Raw genomic sequence first — 21,134 nt, 5'->3', positions numbered from 1 at the left:
GGGGAGCTTGGACTTCCATCTTCACCTGGTAGAAATGTGGCAACCCTCCACTTCTTGCTAGGGAAAATCAGAAGAGGGCTTGCTGAAAGTCAGGACTTTTACCACTGCTACTGGTGGTAGTCACAAGAATCTACACATGTGATTAAATGATATATTACCATGTATTCTTTCGTAACAAAAAATTCTCTAAACTATTTTTCCTTAGATTCCCTAAAGTAAAATTTAATAAAGTATTCCCTCATCATACTAAAGTACACCAAGTAAAAAACAATTTTGCTATTCTATTCTTGCTATTCTTAATACTCAAGAATTTGCTCACTATTTTTTGTTTTCTTTAATGTAATCCTAAAAATTGTCACTGCTTATCTTTTATACTAGACTTACAAACAATGGATGTTTTAGGTATTTGATCTCTGCAGATAGTTTTCAATCCACAGTATCTACACATTAGTGAATACTCCTGACTGAGCTTATTCTTGATGCTAAAATATTTTTCAGGTGACTAGAAAGTATTCCACGAATGATTTGTATCTGCCCATGATGTTTATTCATGCAATCTCAGTTTACAAGCAATTTATGATAATTGCATGTGGATATAGCCACAAAGCAATCCCTATAATTTTTTGCCAGGCATAAGAAATGGCATATTTTGGCCACTATACCTCAAACAATAGGTTTGGTAATGTTGACCATCATTTGTAAAATAAAACAAGGAAAGAAAAACCCTTTTGCTCTTTTGTATGACAAGAAACAAAAAATAGAAGAAATGGCTTGTTCGCTCTAACTCTCCACAAAAAAAAAAAGATAAGAGAGAAGTAACAGAGTGAAACAAAGCGTTCCTTCATTTATAATAAAACTAAAATTTATTTCTCATATACAAACAAAAACCAGCAAGAATTGAGAATCAAAATTAGGTCAATAACTGTGTGATGGTATAATTATTAGTAACACTTTAGAGCTGTACTTAAGACATAGTCAATTAACTTTATTTTTTTTTGTCAACTGCTCCTTATCCTTAAAAATAAAAAATGGACACTAAATCCAGCTCACTTAAATTCTGGCAGATGATTTTAATATAGGACAACGTGGAAAATTTATTTCTGCCAGATATTATAAATTCAAACATAGATCATAGCTATTATTACACTGATTATCATATTTTCCAGAATATATTCTGTACTTTATCTTCTTCTTGTTCCTATTTGGGGTGTTCCATATAATGATGTTTAAAAGGTAAACTAAGGCACAGTAAAATTTTTAAAGAGTGTATTTAAGTAAACAATGATTCATGAATTGGGCAGCTCCAAATCAGAAGTGGTCCAGGAGCCCAACCAAGGAAAAAGAAAGATGCTTTTATAGAACAGACACTGCAGTAAAGGAAAGAAAATACTTGATTGGTTGTTATTATACCTTATCCAGTATAACAGTGTTTATACTTAGGTATAACCTTACTGGGTTGCCTTATTTAGTCTTTTCCACTGGAAAATTCCTAGTTACAGATTATAAGTTACTTGGCTGTTTCTGATTGGTTGAGCTTAAGTTCTGTTATTGTCATTGTTGTTTTTAATACAGCCATTTACAAGAAATAGCTCAAGTTAAGTTTTGCTTATGTTTGCAAATCAAGCAAGCCTAAGGTAACTTATAAGGCCTAACTGGCTTTGTTTGCTCAGAAACTCTTCAACCTGATCTTGACTTCTATTTACTTTAATGGTGTCCAATTGATATTTAATGGGCTATGTATTTTATTAACCGTGGAGAAGCTAGAATCAGATCAATCTTTTAAATAACAAAAATAAACTTTGAACAAAATAATTTTAAAAGCACACATTGTTTGAAGTGACTATGGAGTGGCCTAAACCCTATGGAGACTGGAGTGAATTTACCTCTTTGAAGGAACGAACTTCCCTGTGTGAAATGCACATTATGTTCAGGTTTTCTTCTGAGAATATTTCTCAGTTTTACCTTGACCAATGTCTAGAAGCCAATACAAGTATGAAGTCTTATTGACATGAGGTCGGAGAGAGTGTTTTTCAGGGATGCCAGAGTGGTTGAAATTTGGGGAGACAGGTGAATTCCCAGGCAAGAGAGAGCTACAGAGGGAAGAGTCTCAAAAGCTTAGTTTAAACCCTTTCAAATTCATTGGTGTTTGATGAGGTACCCAGGTGCAGTGGAGACTTCAATGAGCCTAATATGAAGCAACAGTTAGAACGATGCGACTGTTGGGCAGAGAGTTTTAACTGCTAGCCCCTTTAGAATCCGAGTTTAGAATGTGTCCTACCAAGTTACATCAGCTTAACTAGCACCTTGGAATAAACGTGAAAACCTAAATAGAACCAAGTTTTTTTAGTAAAATCTGTTACTGAGCTATAATGTTTACAATATGATTAAGGGCACAACTCAAAGAGAAAGATATAACAGAGCAGAAAACTAAGCCTCTACAGTTGTAAGGTAATTAGTCGGTAATTTACCTATTTGCTAGAACAAAAAATCAAAATGATTCATAAGAAGAGAATCTAGAGTTTCTACCAAGTATTATCTTTAAGATCCTATCTAAAGGTCCGCTATAGAAAGAAACAGGAAAATGTGTCCCATAACTAAGAAAAAAAACAGTGAATGGAAATAAACACTGATATAAACCAAATGTTGGCGTTACAAAATTAAGAATTTAGCCAGGCGCGGTGGCTCATACCTGTAATCCCAGCACTTTGGGAGGCCAAGGCTGGCGGATCACGAGGTCCGGAGATCGAGACCATCCTGGCTAACACGGTGAAACCCCGTCTCTACTAAAACTACAAAAAAATTAGCCAGGTGTGGTGGCGGGCGCCTGTAGTCCCAGCTACTCGGGAGGCTGAGGCAGGAGAATGGTGTGAACCCAGGAGGCGGAGTTTTCAGTGAGCCGAGATCGCGCCACTACACTCCAGCTTGGGCGACAGAGCGAGACTCCATCTCAAAAAAAGAAAAAAAAGATTTTAGACCAGATTTTTATAAATATTTTCAGAGACTACAAAAGATAAAAAGGCTCAGCAAAATATGTAAATGATTTTTTAAAATAGAATATGTATATGTATAAAATTTTAACAAGTTAGGTAGACTGAGCAGTAGTTTGAATATGGAAAAAGTAAGGGTCAGTAAACTTAAGGATAGAAGTAGAAATTATTTTATTTTAAGAGGAGTGATAAAACAGAATTTTAAAATGAATGGTCCAGAATTCAGTGAAGCAAGGTGGTAGAATAGGAAAGTCCAGGCTCTTGCTCTACAATGGAAATATCAAATAAACAACAACATTACAGTCCAAAGTAATTTTGTGGAACTCTAAAAACAAGCTAAGAATCTGCAGTCACCAGGAGAAACCCCCAACAAAGAAAAGGCCACATTCAAAATGATAGAAAATGTGTGGCATTTTTGCTTACCCTTATCCCACCCTTTCTATCCAGTGGGGCCAGGCATGGTCGGGAGAAAACTGTCCAATTTCCAGTTTCTCCCTCAGGACCAGAAGGAAAAGTGTGGAACTTGTTTGCAATGTTCTAGCTTATCTGTGGGCTTCTTGAGTGACTGGTTTCCATCTTGCCTAACTGGGAGCATTGATTGGAAATACTGTCATGGTTTGAGCATGAGGTTGGAGACCACTGAATGCAATACTGGGGGCTGCAGTGTGTGACAGCTGCAAGGGGACTCCAGACCTGTGAGTGCCTGGGGACAAGAGACTGTAGACAGAGGAATACAATAGAACATCTAAGACCCTTAGAAGAGGCAGGGGTGAGACACTTCAGCAAAATAACACATTCAAAAGCATCATCTATATGAAAGAATTGGGAAATTACATACACATGCACAATTTCCCAGGAAAGATATGTTCCCAGAAAAGACCTGAAAAGACCTTGAATTTTCATACTGGTTGTTTAGTGAAAGTTTTCTCTTGCATAGAGATAATCTACAAAGACTAGAAGTAGCTGCTTTTTCAAATGTCTAATTTTAAACAAAAGACTACAAAAGCATACAAAGAAACAGTGAAATGTGACTTATCCAAATTAACAAAATAAATCTCCAGAAACCAACCCTAAAGAAACACAGGTTTCAGATTTACTTGACAATAACTTTAAATAGCTGTCATAAATTTGCTCAATGAGATAAAGAAAATCATGAATAGACAGTTAAAGAAAAATGAGACAAACTGAGATATAAACAATTCAAGAATATCAACAAAGAGACAGAAATTATTTTCACAAAGAACAAAAAAGAAATTCTAGAGCTGGCAATAAGATAATTGAATTTCAAGTTTAATACAGCAGATTCCAACAATCAGAATTAAAAAAAAAAAAGCAAACATGAAGATAGGTCACTTGAAATTATAGAGTCTGAAAAGCAAAAAAGAAAAGGATAAAGAGTGAAGTAAAGTGATAGTGACCCTGTTCCTTTCAGGTTCCTGCTTGATTTGTGAAACAGCCCAGGAATAAGGGACATTCTCCTGGATCATTCTGCTTCGTGAGAGGATGAGGGCTCAGGAAACCGTGAGTATTTTGCTGCTACTCACTTGTAAGTTTCTGCTGAAACCTGCCTTACTTATGGACTGTGCTACTGTGGTGCTTGTCTCCACTCAGGGTCTATGCTGTGTTTCAATTCTGCATGTCAAATTTCAGGTTTTAAGCACTTAACCCTTCATGGATATTTTCAGACCTGTTACCCAGGTTAGATTATATTTAATTTATGTAGTGACTTATACTAGATGACTAATCCAGTTCTTTTATCCTGGCCTTCTGAATTCAGCATGTCATCTCCCTCTTACTCTGTATCACCTAAAAAATGAAAAACACGATATCAAGGGATTTTATTTTTTAAAAATATTGTATTTTAGTTTGCATCATCTGAGTACTATTCTATTTACTGTGTGTTATCCAAACACACTGCTTCTTTAGAAATAATGTAAATGACAACATTCCAAGTTTTGCCAACATTGCCACAATAATGGCATTAGCAGATGATGTCCCAAGAATTAGTTGTAAATAGGCAAATCTAACTTTGCAGTGCCAAATGCTAAAATTAATTAAGTATTTGTGCAAGATATCCCTCCCAGGTTTGTGTTTTAAAAGCAGGGAGAAAAGTTATCTCCAAAATTTCTCCAAATTTTTGACAAAATTATTATCTTTATAAAATTTACCATAGTACATATTTCACAGAATAAAAACCTTTTTAAACCAAGCTGAAAAGCCTCAGAGCAAGTTTCTGCCAGATGTGATTTGATAAGCTATAAACCCTTGAAATATCAGATATGATAGTAAATATGACAACTGACCTTTAGTTATAATACTAGCAATGTGATACTGTAGAGATATCTGTGTGTTTTTTTCTATTGAGGCCATTAGGAGAGAATTTGTTTTGCATATTTTCTAAGAAAGAGCTCTAACTTTATGCCATAAAATTGATAACAAAGCATAGTTTCTATGATTCCATACATTTATCAGCATCATGTTGTCTATAGTGTAGTGAAACAAAATTCCTTAAAAATATAAAACATCACTATCTTTCAGTGGATTTATGTTTCCTTTAACATAATCCTAATAAATTTAAAAGTGTCTTTCACATAATATTCAGATAATAATGTGCCCAAGTCAGTGTTGCTTTGGATCCTGTGATAAGTTCCCATCTTTCACATGAAGGATAATAGTGTGGTACATTTCCCTCCATGTTCAGACTTGCAAGACAAGCAATGTACTGCTCTACCCTCAGATTAGCACGGAGACAGAGAATCTCCAAAATTGATCTTGATGTCTTCCCTATTAAAATAATAACAACAAAAACTCTGATTTCTCTGGTCTACTTCACATCTTACCTCTTCACTGGCTAATAACCTGAGCCAAAAATCTATATAAAATTGCAGACTCGTACATGTCTTCAAGTATTCATCAACTTCATGTTACCTCTTCCATCTCTTTGTTGTTATTCTTAGGACCCTTTTTACTGATTTCAGCAAAATTCCATCCTCTATGACCAGTGCTATTACAGAGTCACTTGTTCATAACTTTCTCCTAAACAATTCCTATTCCATGCTCAACACTTCTGCCAAAATCTGATCAAGTTAATCCTGTCAGAGGTACTCAGTGGCCTTCCTTTGTGCATAGTACCACAAATCAGTGCTGTATCCTCAATACTTAAGAGTGTACCTAGCATGAAAACAACAGAAAAAATCATCTGGATTTAGATACTTTTGTATAGAACTATGTGACTGAAGCAGTAGAGGCACCCATTTATTCTTATTCATTCATCCGTGCATTCATACAATGTGAATTGGTTGAGTTCCTGCATGGCATCATGTGCCTGTTCTTGTTATAGTAGAGAGTTAGGCAAACATAAGCAGGACAGAAGAAGCCTCTGCCACAACCAGCCATGTCAGGCGACCATCAGGTGATGGCCAGGCAGTTGTTAACTCTCTTTCTAAAATAATTGGTTGCAGCCAGCACCAGGGAAAGGCAGTCTCCCTATAGTTAGGAAATACCCGAAAATGCTGATCAGCAGCTTCCTGAAGAAGATCTCATGAGTTGGGTGAAAAGGCTTAAGCATGTACATTAAAAGGCAAAATGGCAGACTTAAACTGGTATATGACCTTCCAGGGCCATTCCACCAGTAAAGGGAAGAACGCCTTCAATGAGCATGAGTACAACTCCAGTAAACACTGCGCATGCTCCCCTCCCAAGCACTAGCTGATCATTGCACATGCAGACAGCACACTCTAAGGGAAAAATCAGTGGAGAAGGGATGCAAGACCCGAGAAATATGCCAACACATAAAACCCTACATCAAAAGGTAAAACTGTGCACTTGTCCTTCAAGTCACCCACTTGTCCCTCTTCCAAGTTCACATTTCTTCCTTTTGTTCCTGCTCTAAAGCTTTTTAATAAACTTTCACTCTTGCTCTAAAACTTGCCTCCATCTCCCCTTTTGCTTTATGGCCCTCAGGTGAATTCTTTCTTCTGAGGAGGCAAGAATTGAGGTTGGTGCATACCTGGATGGATTCCCAACGGGTAACATGCTCAGTGATGCGGTGTAAAACTGTAGGCAGTTGAACTAGGAAGTTGTGTATCAGCAACCACAACATAGGGACAGAATAAATTATGTTTTCAGAAGATAGAGATTAGGTAATTTGGCAACTCAGTTGGAAGACAGGATATTAGTTCAAACAAAGGAGGAATGCAAATCAGTTAAGGCCTAGAGGATGACATAGTATTCAAGTAAAATCCTTGAATAGAAAAGGTTTTTAACAATGTTGAGATGAGCCCTGAGAATAGATTAAGTACCGTGACTCTACATCTGTGATCATGTCGTTCTTTTACCCTTCTGTTTCTCCTTTTCTTTCTCGTCATTCAGAATTATCTTTATCCCTGCAAATAGCATAATGTTTAACTAAAACTGCTAAAGAATTATATTAGCTTATGTATAAGGAGTCTGTATAAAAGGTGTGTTGAGAGTTGGGGCAATGGCACACTGACATTTTTATAAACCCTGATGCTTCTGTACCTGCTACCCTTGGTCTTTCACCAATTTCTTCCCCCGTGGAAGAACACTGAACATAGACATTCCAGCTTCACTTAAATATAATCACATACAATGAAAAAGAAATGTGGCATTCTCTTCAGGTGTCTCTTAACTGGGGAGGAAAATTTTCCAGGAACCCCCTGCAAACTTTGTCAGTTCCCATTGACCAGCACTGGGTCACATCCATTTCTCTTGCTGCAAGAGGGGAGGGTAGAAAGACAAAATTCTGCTGTTTTCAATATTTATCCTAGAAGACAGGTTCAGTCAGTGCATTAGTCCATTCTCACGCTGCTATAAGGACATACCTGTGACTGGGTAATTTATAAAGGAAAGAAGTTTGATTAACTCACAGTTCTACAGGGCTGGGGAGGCCTCAGGAAACTTACAATCATGGCGGAAGGGGAAGCAAACACATCTTTTTTCACAAGGTGGCAGGAGGGAGAAGAATGAGAGCCAGTGAAGGGGGAATACCCTTATAAAACCATCAGATCTTGTGAGAACTTACTATCATGAGAATAGCATGAGGGAAACCACTCCCATGATTCAATTACCTCCCACTGGGTCCCTCTCACAACAAGTGGGGATTATGGAAACTACAGTTCAAGATGAGATTTGGGTGGGGACACAGTCAAACCATATTGGTCAGTGAGAAAAACAGGATGAAGTGGAGAGTTTTTATAATTAATTAAATAATTAATTTGTATTGTATAAATTTAAAGTATACAAGTATGATGTTTTGATATACATATTCGTAGAGAAATGATTACTACAAGTAAGCAATTTAAGATATCCATCACTTTCCATAGTAATTTTTTTTTCAGAATGAGATTGAATTATTAGTAGTCAACCAGCAGCATCTTCCTCTCTTTCTCAGTTACTCAGTTTTCTCTTCATGTTTAGACTTCATACTGTCTTACTTCCTCTGAACTCCTTTAATGAACATTACCTGTACTAGTCATTTGATGTTTAAATAATGAGCCACATGACTAGCTGCTATTTTGTGAATATGTCTGTATTCATTTCTTGGGGCTGCTGAAACAAAATACCACAAACTGGGTGTTCAACCACAGAAATGTATTGTCTCACAGTGCTGGAGGCTAGAATTCTGAGATCAATGTATTGCTGGCTTGGCCATGCTCCCTCTGAAGGTGCTTGGGGAGAACTTGTTCCAGGCTTCTCACCTAGCTTCTGATCATTTCTTAGCGTGTGGCAGCATAATTCCAACCTTCACATGGTGTTTTTACCTGTGTGTGTGTGTCCCTGTGTTCAAATTTTGCCTTTATATGTTGGATCTGGGTCCATTCTAATGACCTCAGACTATTTCCAAAGGTCACAGCACCAGACACTGGGGGTTAAGACTTCAACGTCTTTTGTGAGAACACATTTCAACCCCTAATAATGTCTAACTGTTCTGCTGAGAAAGTAAACAAGGTCGGGGCAGTAATTTTTTTCTCATATGCATGTTTCACAAAGAGCATGAAGCAGAGTGCTTTTAGCATAATAATTGCTTAATAAATATTCTGATTGATCCTGATTCAGATCTTCCTCCTCTAAGTCAATGCCACTCAAAATGAGGTCTGCTGAACAGTAGTGTTGCAGCACATCTGAATAGATCTTTTGTGTGTGTGGGGGGGGGAACTATGCCAAGGTCAGAGAAAATTTGGGGATAGGTTTGTAGTACAATAAGTTTAAAATGTTGCATAGGTTATTTCACCCCTGGGAAATTTCAAAGACTTTCATATGTCATGTAATAGGGATCTGCCACAGGGGAATGAGTTATTTGGTATTTGCCAAACATATGGGCCATATTTTTTCCTACACAGAACACTTGTTAATGTCTTCTGAACAGCATCATGTTACAAACACTATTTGGGAAATCTGCTCTCACTTCATTGGCACTGGCTCAGAGATCACAACTAAAGAAACAAATAGAGTTAACTTTCTCAGATCCCAGGTTATATATTAAATCATATGGCAATCCCATTTTTAGTAGCTATATATTTTGTTTCATGACAGCCTAAACCTTCTCATGGCCCACAAAGAATTATATATTTTGTGGTTGGTCATAAAATCAAAACGATCTTAAGTGAGTATGAAGTTTTGTAAAAAGGTAAACTTAGCTGATTTTATTTTTTTATTTTGTTTGAAAGACTAGAAATGTCTAGAGCTATTATTAAAGCTTTGATTGTTCATAATGCTTCCTCTTATAATGTGCATTACTTGGTCATATGACTTGTTTGATTGAAAGTATTTGGATTTTGTCACATTTTACTATAGTGATATAGAAACAGGCCAAAAGGGAACCAGCAGTGGGGACTTTGGATGGGATTGTCTGGAGAAAGAGGGAAAGAGAGACATATGAAAAACCAAAGGTCTGCATCACAGAAGCTAATTGTGATGCTATTCATATCAGATTACAATAACACTTGCACAAGCAGGTGCACCAAGCAGGAACTCCCCTCCTCTCCAGCACTGCAAACCCCTATCTGGTTTTAAAAACCCAGCTCAAAGTGGCACCTAGAACCAAGAAGCCTTCTGCCTGATTTATTTGGGAATACGTGATTTTCTTTCTCTGGTCCTAAAAGATTGGTTCTGTACTCAAAGTCAAGCTCAAAAAGCCTGAGTGCATGTATTATACAGAGTAAGAAAAAAATCTTACTTTCATTTATGACTCTTAGGCAGTTTGCCAAACTGAACTGATTGAAAAAAACAATGGCGATTTGAGGATCCTGAAATCAATAGACTCTCAGGCTTGAACCTCAAGTCAGTAGACCCTCAAGTTACTGAAGTCTGAACTTAAGAGAGACTGTTTTGAGCACCATTTTTGCTAACCGCAGGCTTTTTATTTTTTGGAGCATATTACTTAACCTCTTAGTCCTCACTTTTCTCTTCAGCAAAATAGAGCCTGGAATAGCTATTAAATTGGACCTTTATGAAATTGCTGTTTTTGAAAAAAAATGTTGAAATGTTACAATTTAATGTGCTTCAACCTACTATGCAGAGAGTAGTTATGAGATTTTTTCTAATAAATGGACTGAAAGTAGCCGGCCTATTGAGTTAAACTAATAATAATAGAGAGCTGTTGTTATTATCTATATGGTTTCTATCCAAACATACTTTTATTTTGCATAGAACACTGACAGCTACATGTATTGATGTCTCCATGGATACCCTAAATTAAATACGACTTTCAAAAATTAAAATTTCAAATTTCAACTAAGGGATCAATAAACATTTTGATTTACTTATAAATGAATTGAAATGTTTATTGATCTCTTACATTTATAACTGTAAAAACGAAAGACTTTAACATGTTTATTTTCATGGATCTTAGATTCCAAACATATTCTTATTTTATTTTATTTTTCTCCAGAAGGCATCAGAGCTCATGATTTCAAACATACTAACTTAAACCAGAAGGTTTTCTTAAAGGCTTAGACTTTCTTCCTGAACAAAAGATTTAAGAACTTAAGTGCTTTTTAAACTAAGAAAAATGATTTATGCCATTGCCTGAAACAAATCTGCCTAACAGCTGTTTGCAACTATATAACAGGAAAATAGAACCCTATTTGGAGGGGCAGCTAGATTTGGTGGTACTTATAAGGGCCAAATCTCTGTTTTGAAACAGTAAGATTGGAATTGGCAGGGTCTTCTCTGGACACCTGGGTTGAGATTGGGAAACAAGGTTAGAAATGCTGTTGCCCTTAGCATGACTTCTATATTCCAATCAGAGTCAGCTACACATGTCCAGGTTTGGCTTCAAACTGATGACTCTAAACCAGCAATGGTAGGAGGTATGTTAAATCAGATTGCCTTCTAAATCTGATTCCCAAAAAAATATATATATATAAAACACCCAAAACAATGGCACTGACTTTTAATTTCAAGGTTTGAAGTCATTAAGCATGATGAAAAAAAATCAAGAGTTGGCTGTGGCATTTGGTGGCTAGAAATTCATCTGTTAGGACAAGGGAAATGAGGCATATATTTCATCTGCAACATTGCCTAGGAAATATTTAGGGCCTGGACTTGACCACTGATGACTATCGCCATTGGAGTTCTGCATCCATAGTCTACCCTGAGAGCACCTGCTCCCTCCTAGCAAAGGCCCCTTGGTAATGATTTTCTTTTAGTATATTTGATTGCCAACTTTTATCTTAAATTTGATGAAGCTCATTGGTCCTAAAATGTACACAGGATGCTACAATGATGTTCTTGTCTTTGTTTAATTTAGAGGCAAATGGAACGTTAAAATAAGAGTATGAATGGTTGTTTAGTGATTGTGTTTGAGGCAAGTGAAGGGTGGTCTATGCTTGAGCAGTGAGGGTTGGGAATTTTCTGCTGTAGGTAAGAGTTAAAACAACACCCAGTCAATCCCATGTAAGTGAAGTTCTTTAATTCTCTTCTCAGTTTAATCTGAAGTAATAGATTTTATAATAATGAATGGAAACACATTCACTTCTATTTTCTTGTACTTGCTGGAACCCACTGTGGGATTTCTATTGTCCATCCTGACTGGTCTCAGTTGACTCACCATTCCCCAAGGTCTGCCAAATCTAGGAAAGCATGCTCACTTCGTCCCTGCTAGGGGCTTGCTCTCTCTATATGGTAGTAAAAGCTACAATTCTTTTTTGCACTAAATACAATTTTATTCTCTGTTCTTGGACCAGGAGGTGGCAATACCATAAAGCTTACTTTACATTTCCTTATGTGTGATAAATCTGTATTCTATGAGTAAGTTCTCACTAGGTCAGAACAGAGAAGCTCTTTGTTGTCTCTTCAAAGTGAGGAAATTAGTAATTAACTAGAAAAACCCAAACAATAGCTGTTCTTATGGTGAATGTGTCTATCTTTTGTCTTCTAAATTAGAAACATACTGGCTGTTTTGTTAGTAAACCTAGACAGAAATTTCAAAATTTGGAACTATAACTACAATAATTTATCAACTTCTGATTCATGACTTCCATTCGTCATATTTAAAAATTTAATAATTTATAAAAAGACCATTAATGGCCTAGCATCCTTGGAAACCCCGCTGCTCAGTGCTGGCTAATTTACCTTCCCCCTGCATGAGAGTCTCACTCCTTTCACTCTCCAGTTTCCCACTCAGATCTTCCCTGTTTCATACTCTCATGTTGATGGAAAGTGTCTGGAGAACTTTCCTTAGCTACTACTTGTAATTTCAACTGAGGCTTTCTGAAGTAACAGATTTTGTTGTTACTTCTAATAATAAAAAAAGTCAGACCGGGATAGATTTTAGTCGGATGTGGCCCTAAAATCTTGGCAATCACACTAGATAAGAGACTTTTGTATACCTTGGGCCCAGGGTATCACATATAGAACTCTTTTATCTTCTGCCACCATATTTCACTAGGACTATAGAGAAAAGTAAAACCTGTCTGAAACACCATAGAACATGCATTCTGAATTTTTAAAATGTCTATATTAGAAGAATAGTCATTACGTGAATTAGAACAGTATTAAATTATAATTTTTCCTTAATTGTAAAAGAAAGGATGTATGCATGAACTGAATTCATGTCTACAAATATCGAGGTTATGTTATGCTTGGTTAGATTGCTAAGATCATCCCTGGCCATGAGAGCCAAGTCAACTATAAAATTTGCTTCACAGTTATCAACAGTTGAATTCTGGGCTTTTATATTGTCAATATACGAGTAGAAAGAAAGAAAAATATTTATAACTAGATGCTCAGAGATTGCAAAGTATAAGAAACTCCATTTTGAAAACACAGATTTCAGAATAAACTCTCTTTTCTGACTCTTAAAACAGGTTCACATGTCCTTTAGCCGTTGTCAAAGAAAAATTTTACTGGATAGAGTTAAACAGACAAGAAAACTTTATTCAAGACTATTGCAATAGGGGAGAGAGAATGAACTCAATTTCACTGAAACAAAAGACTAAAAGACTTTCAGATGTTGGGGTGAGCTAGTAAAAATGTACTGGAGGAAGCTGGGGGGAGGTTGATCAATGTAATTAGGCCATTTCATTTGTTAATTGTTTCTTATGAAAGTCAAAAGTTAGGCTCCTGCCCTCCCGTAGAGACTGAAAGGTGAAAACTCCCTCTTCCTTGATGATTACATTTCAAAGGGATGGCTCCCAGGCCTTCAAGAAAAACATTCCTGCATGTTAAAACTGGCCAACAGGCTTTTAAAAAGATTTACATCCCTAAAGGGCAGAGAGAATTTGCAATCATCCAGTGTTCTAATGTAAATGCACCAAGAAAAGTGAGGTAAGGGAAAAAAAAGTCAGGAAGAAATTTGTCTAAAGTAAACTGAGAGGGATATTAAGGCCATCTTTTTTCCTTTTTTTTTTCTTTTTGAGATGAAGTTTCACTCTTTTTGCCCAGGCTGGAGTGCAATGGTGCGATCTTGGCTCATTGCAACCTCCGCCTCCTGGGTTCAGGCGATTCTCCTGCCTCAGCCTCTGGAGTAGCTGGGATTACAGGCACGCACCACCACACCTGGATTATTTTGTATTTTTAGTAGAGATGGGGTTTTGCCATGTTGGTCAGGTCAGTCTCAAACTCCTGACCTCAGGTGATCCACCCGCCTTGACCTCCCAAAGTGCTGGGATTACAGGCGTGAGCCACTGCACCTGGCCCATTAAGGCCATCTTAATCACCATCTCACCAGTGAAAGTCATACAGCCAGGGCAATTACCATTGTCGATGAAAAGAGTCAAACTCTATAAATATTTGAAGAGATTTATTCCAAGCCAAATATGAGTGACACAGCCTTCAGGAGGTCCTGAGAACATGTGCCCAAGGTGGTTGGGGTACAGCTTGGTTTTATGTATTTTAGGAAGGCATGAGACATCAATCAAATACATTTAAGAAATACATTGGTTTAGTTCAGAAAGGTGGAAAAACCCAAAGCAGGGGCTTCCGGGCTGTAGGTAAATTTAAACATTTTCTGGTTGACAATTGGTTGAGGTTATCTGAAGACCTGGTATCCATAGAAAGGAATGTTCAGGTTAAAGAAAAATGATTGTGAAGACCAAGTTTTATTATCCAGAGGGAGCTCTTAGATAGCAGACTTTAGAGAGAGCAGGTTGTAAATTGTTTTATATCGGATTTAAATGGGTGCCTGGCTCTTCGTTGATTATCTCCTGGATCTGGGCGGGAAGGAAGGAAAACAAAGGGTGAAGAGGATTCTCTATAGAATGTGGATTTTTCCTACAAGAGACTTTGCAAGGCAATTTCAAGGTATGGCAAGGAAATATATTTTGGGGTAAAACATTTTTATTTTCTTCCTCATTATGCCAGAGTCAGGTTGGAAAGTAAGTCATGATATATGGGGTTAAAAAAAACCCATCTCATGAGAATTTATGGTTTCTAGGTCATGACTCCTCAGACTCCTTAGAAAGGAATTTGAGTAAGTTAAAAAAAAAACAGAGCTTAGTCCTCATCATCATGACAAACTACCTAAACAGATGACAATGCCTGTACAACCAAACTGTTAAGGACCAATATTTCTGTTCACTTCATAAATACAAGAGTAAATGTTTTGACTTCTCACCTCAAACATTTTAGTGTCCTAAAAGGAAATCATTTAAGTTATAATTATTAATGCTATATCAGGAGGGAGGTATAGCTTTCATGAAAATTTATTTTTGAATTTCCATTAAGAGTCTACAATGCTCAACTATTTCATGTTTGTCTGATTTGTAATACTCAAAAAGTTTCAAAAAATTGCCATAAAGACAGAATTTAGGGAATAGAGTTCAATGTCCAGGGGAACAAAAATGAGATAAAAGTGGAAGCCAAAGATCATCTTGATAAGTCATCTATCATTTGGCCAGCAACCTTTGGAATTCGAGGAACAGCAACGGTGATTGATGTGTTGCTAAATCGTGAAAATTGCTTCATACACTGGCAACCCGGGAATCTGCCCAGCCAGCTTTACAGACAATCTCCAGCCAGTATTACCCTAAAATTCTTTGTGCACATGACTGGTTTAATTCATCTATAATTACATTTACATATAAAATTACCCTACATGTTTGATTTCAGGGATACCAGGATAGTCTTCTCTGTCAAAATAATATCTCTGTCTACAAAATTCCAGAGGAAATGCCACTATTAGAGAGTACTTTGTTTTTGATCACTTTTGCATAATTGTCTTCCCTTAGTGCACTTTCTTAAGGGTTATGCCAGAGCATGTTTGCTCCTTTTGTCTCTGGAGACAGCAGTGAGTGCACCCTCTGTCCATTTTTCTTTCCCTTCAGTGCAGTCAACAAGGTTCGCGCCTTCTGCCTTCTTAACCTCTTTCACAAAGTAACAGATAAAAATGAAATATTTTACAAGTAAATGCAGAGATTAAATTTTATTGCATCTGTCCTTGCTATCTGCAGTGATATTCTCTACTCTATCCTTACCTCTCCAGTCCAATTCACATATCACCAGTCATTTCAAATTCCTCAAATGGGATTTTGCATATTGTTATAACAAATATTTTCCAGGCTGGGTAGTGTGTGAAGAAAATGCATTGAAGGCTTTCCATTTGCATATAAAGTAAAAATTAATTTTTTAGGATTAGAAAAATGGAAAAAGACCTCTTAAACTTCATTTGTGTTGACCAATAAACAAATGATTTAATGTTAATATCTTGATCTAAGTTTCTATTTTTTCAAAATAGAAATGAAAACATATCTACCTTACAAATATAATGTCAATATATAATCTGTGTGTATATTTGCATATGATGCACATATATGTTTGTGACTACATATAGGGCAACGTTTGGCCTAGTACTTCAATCATGCTAAGAATTTAATATATTTTAGACATTATAATTGTTTTACTTGTTATTACCATGAGTTGGCTTAAACAAGATTTCACTGGAATTTCAATGTGATTCAGAATGTTATCATAACAGAATAATTAATGAATGCTTCAAGACAGAATTTTGAAAACAAATGAGTTCAGAAATATCAGAGATGGCATGTCAGGCAGATGGAGTTAGAATATAGATATATATATATAGAGAGAGTAAATGTGCAAAACCGTGAAGCTTCTGATGTGAGAGATCATGCATTTTTTGTAAAGCAGAATAGAGAAATATGCATATGAGATTTTTGCCATGGAAAATGTGTGAAAGGGCTTTGGATTCAGGATATGCTACAGTCATTGTTGTACTGAACAGTGAAATGCTAAAAGTCCTATCTCTCTCTCTCTCTCTCTCTCTTTTTTTTTTTTTTTTTTTTTTGAGATGGAGTTTCACTCTTACTGCCCTGGCTGGAGTGCAATGGCGTGATCTCGGCTCACCACAACCTCCGCCTCCTGGGTTCATGCAATTCTCCTGCCTCAGCCTCCCAAGTAGTTGGGATTACAGGCATGCACCACCATGCCCAACTTGTATTTTTAGTAGAGACAGGGTTTCTCCATATTGGTTAGGCTGGTCTTGAACTCTGGACCCCAGGTAATGCGCCCACTTCAGCCTCCCAAAATGCTGGGATTACAGGAGTGAGGCACCGCACCTGGTAGTCCTTTCTCTTAATATCAGAAACATAATACAACTGTGTGTTGGAATATGTTAGTTACTACTTCTCTGTGGTTAGAGTAGTGTTTTTGAAGAAAATAAATACAATGAGTAAAATGTGCACTGGCTGTTACATCTTTGAATAAAGTTTCTCAAAGAAAAATGGATGGCCAAGTTTAAACTGGTTTGGAATGTGTGCCTGAGGCCCAGTGCCAAAATAAGGGACATCTTACTGTCTCATCTTGAATCAATATCATGGCATCTGTCTGTGGAGAATCTAGGTCACAATGTAGAGTCTAAGTATACTTAACAGCCAGCTGCACAGAGATCATTGTCTGCTTTATAGACCGATGCTTTAGCAATCTCAATATGGTAGTCCTGTCCTCTGGGAAACATGGCTCAAAGAATATGAAGGTCTTATTGTTTTTCCCAACTGCTGTTCCCCAATTGCTCTCATGAAAAGCAATAAAAAGATTATTGAAAATTATAGAAAAATCTTGATTTTGTGGAAAGCAGAAGCTCCCACTTCTAGGGAAGCTCTAGTATGGTGAGATTAGGCTTCTTCTTTCAAGCATTGTGAAGCATTTACATTAAACATCACTGTTTAAATTCCAGCCTGTGTATACATGATACAGAAACAAATATAAAAAATAAAATTATAATTATTTTACATAAAACGATTTCATAAAGCAATTGGAAGTGACTGCATACAATACAGTTATACAAAACAGTGTGACATTATGCCAGAAATCATAAGTTCGAAAACAAAATTTAACGAAATCCAATTCTCAACCGCAATAAGAAATGTAGAGACATAAAACTATCTAAAACATTGTCTCGGTGAAACATAGGCAGAAATTTTTGTTGAGAGAAAACATGCATATTTGAATAAAAGGAGAACCATACTAGAGCTTTATAAGTGAATGGGTTGATAAGAGAGGTTAAATGTGGGTTTTCTTCAGTCACATTCATGTGTAATTAATAAAATTATAATAACAGTTAAAATTAATTTTATTTTAGGAGAAGACAAAAATAATAAATGGTTTATCTCGAAGAATTATCAAAAAGAGTATACAGAGTACCGTAGCATTGAGTACCCCATAGGAAACAGTTGCCAAGCTTGAAGGTCAAAATGAATAGAATAATTGAGGGGCTATTCAAGAGATTTGGGTATAGGTAAGGGTAGTGGAGCCCGACAGACTGGCAACAACAGAAAGCCACTTACCACCCACTCCTAGGCCTCACATGACAGAAGACGGGACTGGATCCGTAGAGTCCATTTCCATGGAAAAGGAATGGCCATCTGAGATGATTTGTCCTGTGGGATGCAGCCACTGTCAGAATGACAGGAAAGAGGGCTAGGAATGATACCTACTTGACCTCTTTCTCTCGCTGCACTTCCGACTCCTGCTACTGCCACCCATTTTCCAAACCCAGCCAGTAGCCACGTGGCAGGAATGAGTAAATCTTCTCAAAAAGCATGAATGTCTAAGCACTGAGGTTTAAATGTGCCCGCTCCAAAATTTGGGAATTGCCAATGTGACAGTATTAAGAGGTGAACATTTAAGAGGTAATTAGGGCTGGGAGCAGTGGCTCAAGCCTTTAATCTCAGCATTTTGGGAGGCCAAGGCGGGTGGATCACTTGAGGTCAGGAGTTTGAAACCAACCTGGCCAACATGGTGAAACCCTGTCTCCAATAAAAATACAAAAGTTAGCTAGGCGTGATGGCATGTGCCTGTAGTCTCAGCTACTCGGGAGGCTGAGGCAGGAGAATCACTGGAACCTGGGAGATGGGGTTTGCAATGAGCTGAGATCATGCCATTGCATTCCAGCCTGGGCAACAAAGCAAGACGACTCTGTCTCAAAAAAAAAAAAAAAAAAAAAAATAGGAATTAGGCCATGCAAGTTCCAAAATGAAGAATATAAGCATTTTGGGGGGAAGTGAGGGATGATAGGACTTTAAAAATATAGTTTTATTAATAAACAATACAGTTTATTACTTCTCTTTATTTTTGAGTTAATACATAATAATGAAAGCATAATACATTAATTGTGAATCCATCTAAAAATTTGCTTGTATAATTATATAAATATGATTAGTTGAAGGCAGAAGGGAGCTAGAGCAATATCTGGACTTTCCTGATGAAGAAAAATGAGGCTCAGAAAGATGAAATGATGTGTACAAGGTCATAGCACTAATCAATTAGGGATTTATACAGCTGCTTTCCAGCATTGGTCATTTCATGAACAGGCTTCGTGAGTGCACTGTTAAGGAGGAAGGAGCTCATTGTGTGTGAACTTGGCACTACTTATTGAAGGTTAGGGTCAATGCTGATTCCATTTTTAGGTATAAGGTATAATGCCTTTTAGGGACCTGGAGAGGAATAACTGTCAATCCGTGTTTTCCCCAAATCTCTGTTCCATACCTGTTCCTACAGGTAAGAGAATGAGGATGAGAGAAAGAGCACTTGGTGTTTGGCTGGGATAAAGAATGCAGGTGCCAGATTCAGGTTTTCAAAAGTACCATGTTGTTTTTTTTCAAAAAATTTCTTAGATTAACTATGGATAAACAATTTCTATGCTAAGATATTTCTTAAACAAAGAATTATAAATAAGGTCAAAATAAATTGGTCTATTTAGGTAGAAAGGCAGCCACAATTTTCAAAAAGTTATTTTTTGTTTGTTTGCTTTTTGTCTTTGAGACAGAGTCTTGCTCTGTCACCCAGTCTGAAGAGCAGTGGCGTCCTCACCTCATGGATCCCTGCAGCCTCGACTTCCCAGGTTCTATCTTCCAGGCTCAAGAGATCCTCCTGCCTCAGTTTACAGAGTAGCTGGTACTACAGGCACGTGCCATTACACCTGTGTATTAGTCTGTTCTCATGCTGCTAATAAAGATGTACCTGAGACTTGGTAATTTATAAAGGAAAGAGGTTTAATTGACTCACATTGTGGCATGGCTGGGGAGGCCTCAGGAAACTTACAATCATAGCAGAAGGGGAAGCAAACATATCCTTCACATGGTGGCAAGGAAAAGAAGAATGAGAGCCGAGCAAAGGGGGAAGCCCCTTATAGAATCATCAGCTGTCGTGAGAACTTACTATCACAATAATAGCTTGGGGGAAACCGCCCCCATGATTCAATTACCTCCCGCTGGGTCCCTCTCACAACACTTGGGGATTATGGGAACTACCGTTCAAGATGAAATTTGGGTGGGGACACAGTCAAACCATATCAACCTGGCTACTTTTCTTTTGTTTGTTTTTAGTAAGGACGCCATCTGTCTATGTTGCCCAGGCTGGTCTCAAACTTCTGAGCTCAAGTGCTCCTCCCACTTCGACCTCCCAAAATGTTGGGAATACAGGCATGAGCCACTGTGCTGGGGTAATAAAGTTCTTAGTCACTTGGTTGTAGAGATTGCCCAGAAACCCATTGTTTCATTCATGCTGTGAAACCACTGGGAATTAGTTGGCCATCCTGTTTGAAGTAACAGGCCAGATTACATCTCTGAAAAGAAAGTAACAATATAGCAACTTTCCCTTTATCACCTGAGAGAGAAAAACATGACATTAATTCTCTATTGCCTTCATCCTTTAGAAAGATGAGAAGACAAGTTTTTAGATTAGCCTCCTGGGAGTCACTACCCTTTGTAAAATAGTCAACTGCGATGTGTTATTTGTCAGGTGGATATTATTGTTAATTTTGAGAAGCTCATAATGCAGAGTTGTAGGTTATGCTCTAATTTGTTGGCATTTTCTCATCTGACAAAACAAAATTCACTAAAAGTAACATTAGTCACTCTAATATTTGTGTTGTGCATGTGTGTGAGTAAATTTGGAGCTTATGAGTATATTTAAAACTTATAATCATTTTGTGAGTCTGTGACATTTATTCCTAACTGCCCATCATAAAAGAGCAATCAAAACTGCCTCTAACCTATAGATCAGCCTGTGTGGCATTATCAAAATTGTGACACAACAGAGCTTTCAGGATTTTAATGAGGTTAAGTAGTTAGACAAATAATGATTAATTTACAGGAAGGTCACCTGAATTTCTAGGAAGGTACATTGAATTTCCTGAGTATTGAAATATAGCAAGAAAGATGATTT

The 21,134-nt window shown here is 37.1% G+C and overlaps 1 long non-coding RNA gene across 1 annotated transcript in view, besides 2 other annotated features; it reads left to right on the top strand.

Annotated features, from left to right (window-relative positions):
* Positions 1-4,445: 4,445 nt before the first annotated feature.
* LOC105374833 (uncharacterized) overlaps positions 4,446-21,134 on the top strand; it is a 36,976-nt gene continuing 20,287 nt past the window's right edge. Inside the window, exon 1 of the long non-coding RNA XR_940306.2 lies at positions 4,446-4,508. This is a non-coding gene — a long non-coding RNA (uncharacterized LOC105374833). The remainder of the gene's footprint in view (positions 4,509-21,134) is intronic.
* Positions 13,252-14,123: an enhancer, noted in NCBI's record as "OCT4-NANOG-H3K27ac hESC enhancer chr2:83510956-83511827 (GRCh37/hg19 assembly coordinates)". NCBI's record gives its function as "activates a minimal SCP1, AML or CMV promoter by ChIP-STARR-seq in naive and primed H9 embryonic stem cells {active_cell/tissue: H9 hESC(naive and primed)}" and the evidence as "EXISTENCE:reporter gene assay evidence [ECO:0000049][PMID:30033119]".
* Positions 14,124-14,996: an enhancer, noted in NCBI's record as "NANOG-H3K27ac hESC enhancer chr2:83510083-83510955 (GRCh37/hg19 assembly coordinates)". NCBI's record gives its function as "activates a minimal SCP1, AML or CMV promoter by ChIP-STARR-seq in naive H9 embryonic stem cells {active_cell/tissue: H9 hESC(naive)}" and the evidence as "EXISTENCE:reporter gene assay evidence [ECO:0000049][PMID:30033119]".

This window comes from Homo sapiens, chromosome 2, assembly GCF_000001405.40.
Source record: "Homo sapiens chromosome 2, GRCh38.p14 Primary Assembly".
Classification (NCBI taxonomy): domain Eukaryota; kingdom Metazoa; phylum Chordata; class Mammalia; order Primates; family Hominidae; genus Homo; species Homo sapiens.
Note: the sequence above shows the minus strand (reverse complement) of the source record. Positions and strands in the feature narration are given on the sequence as shown.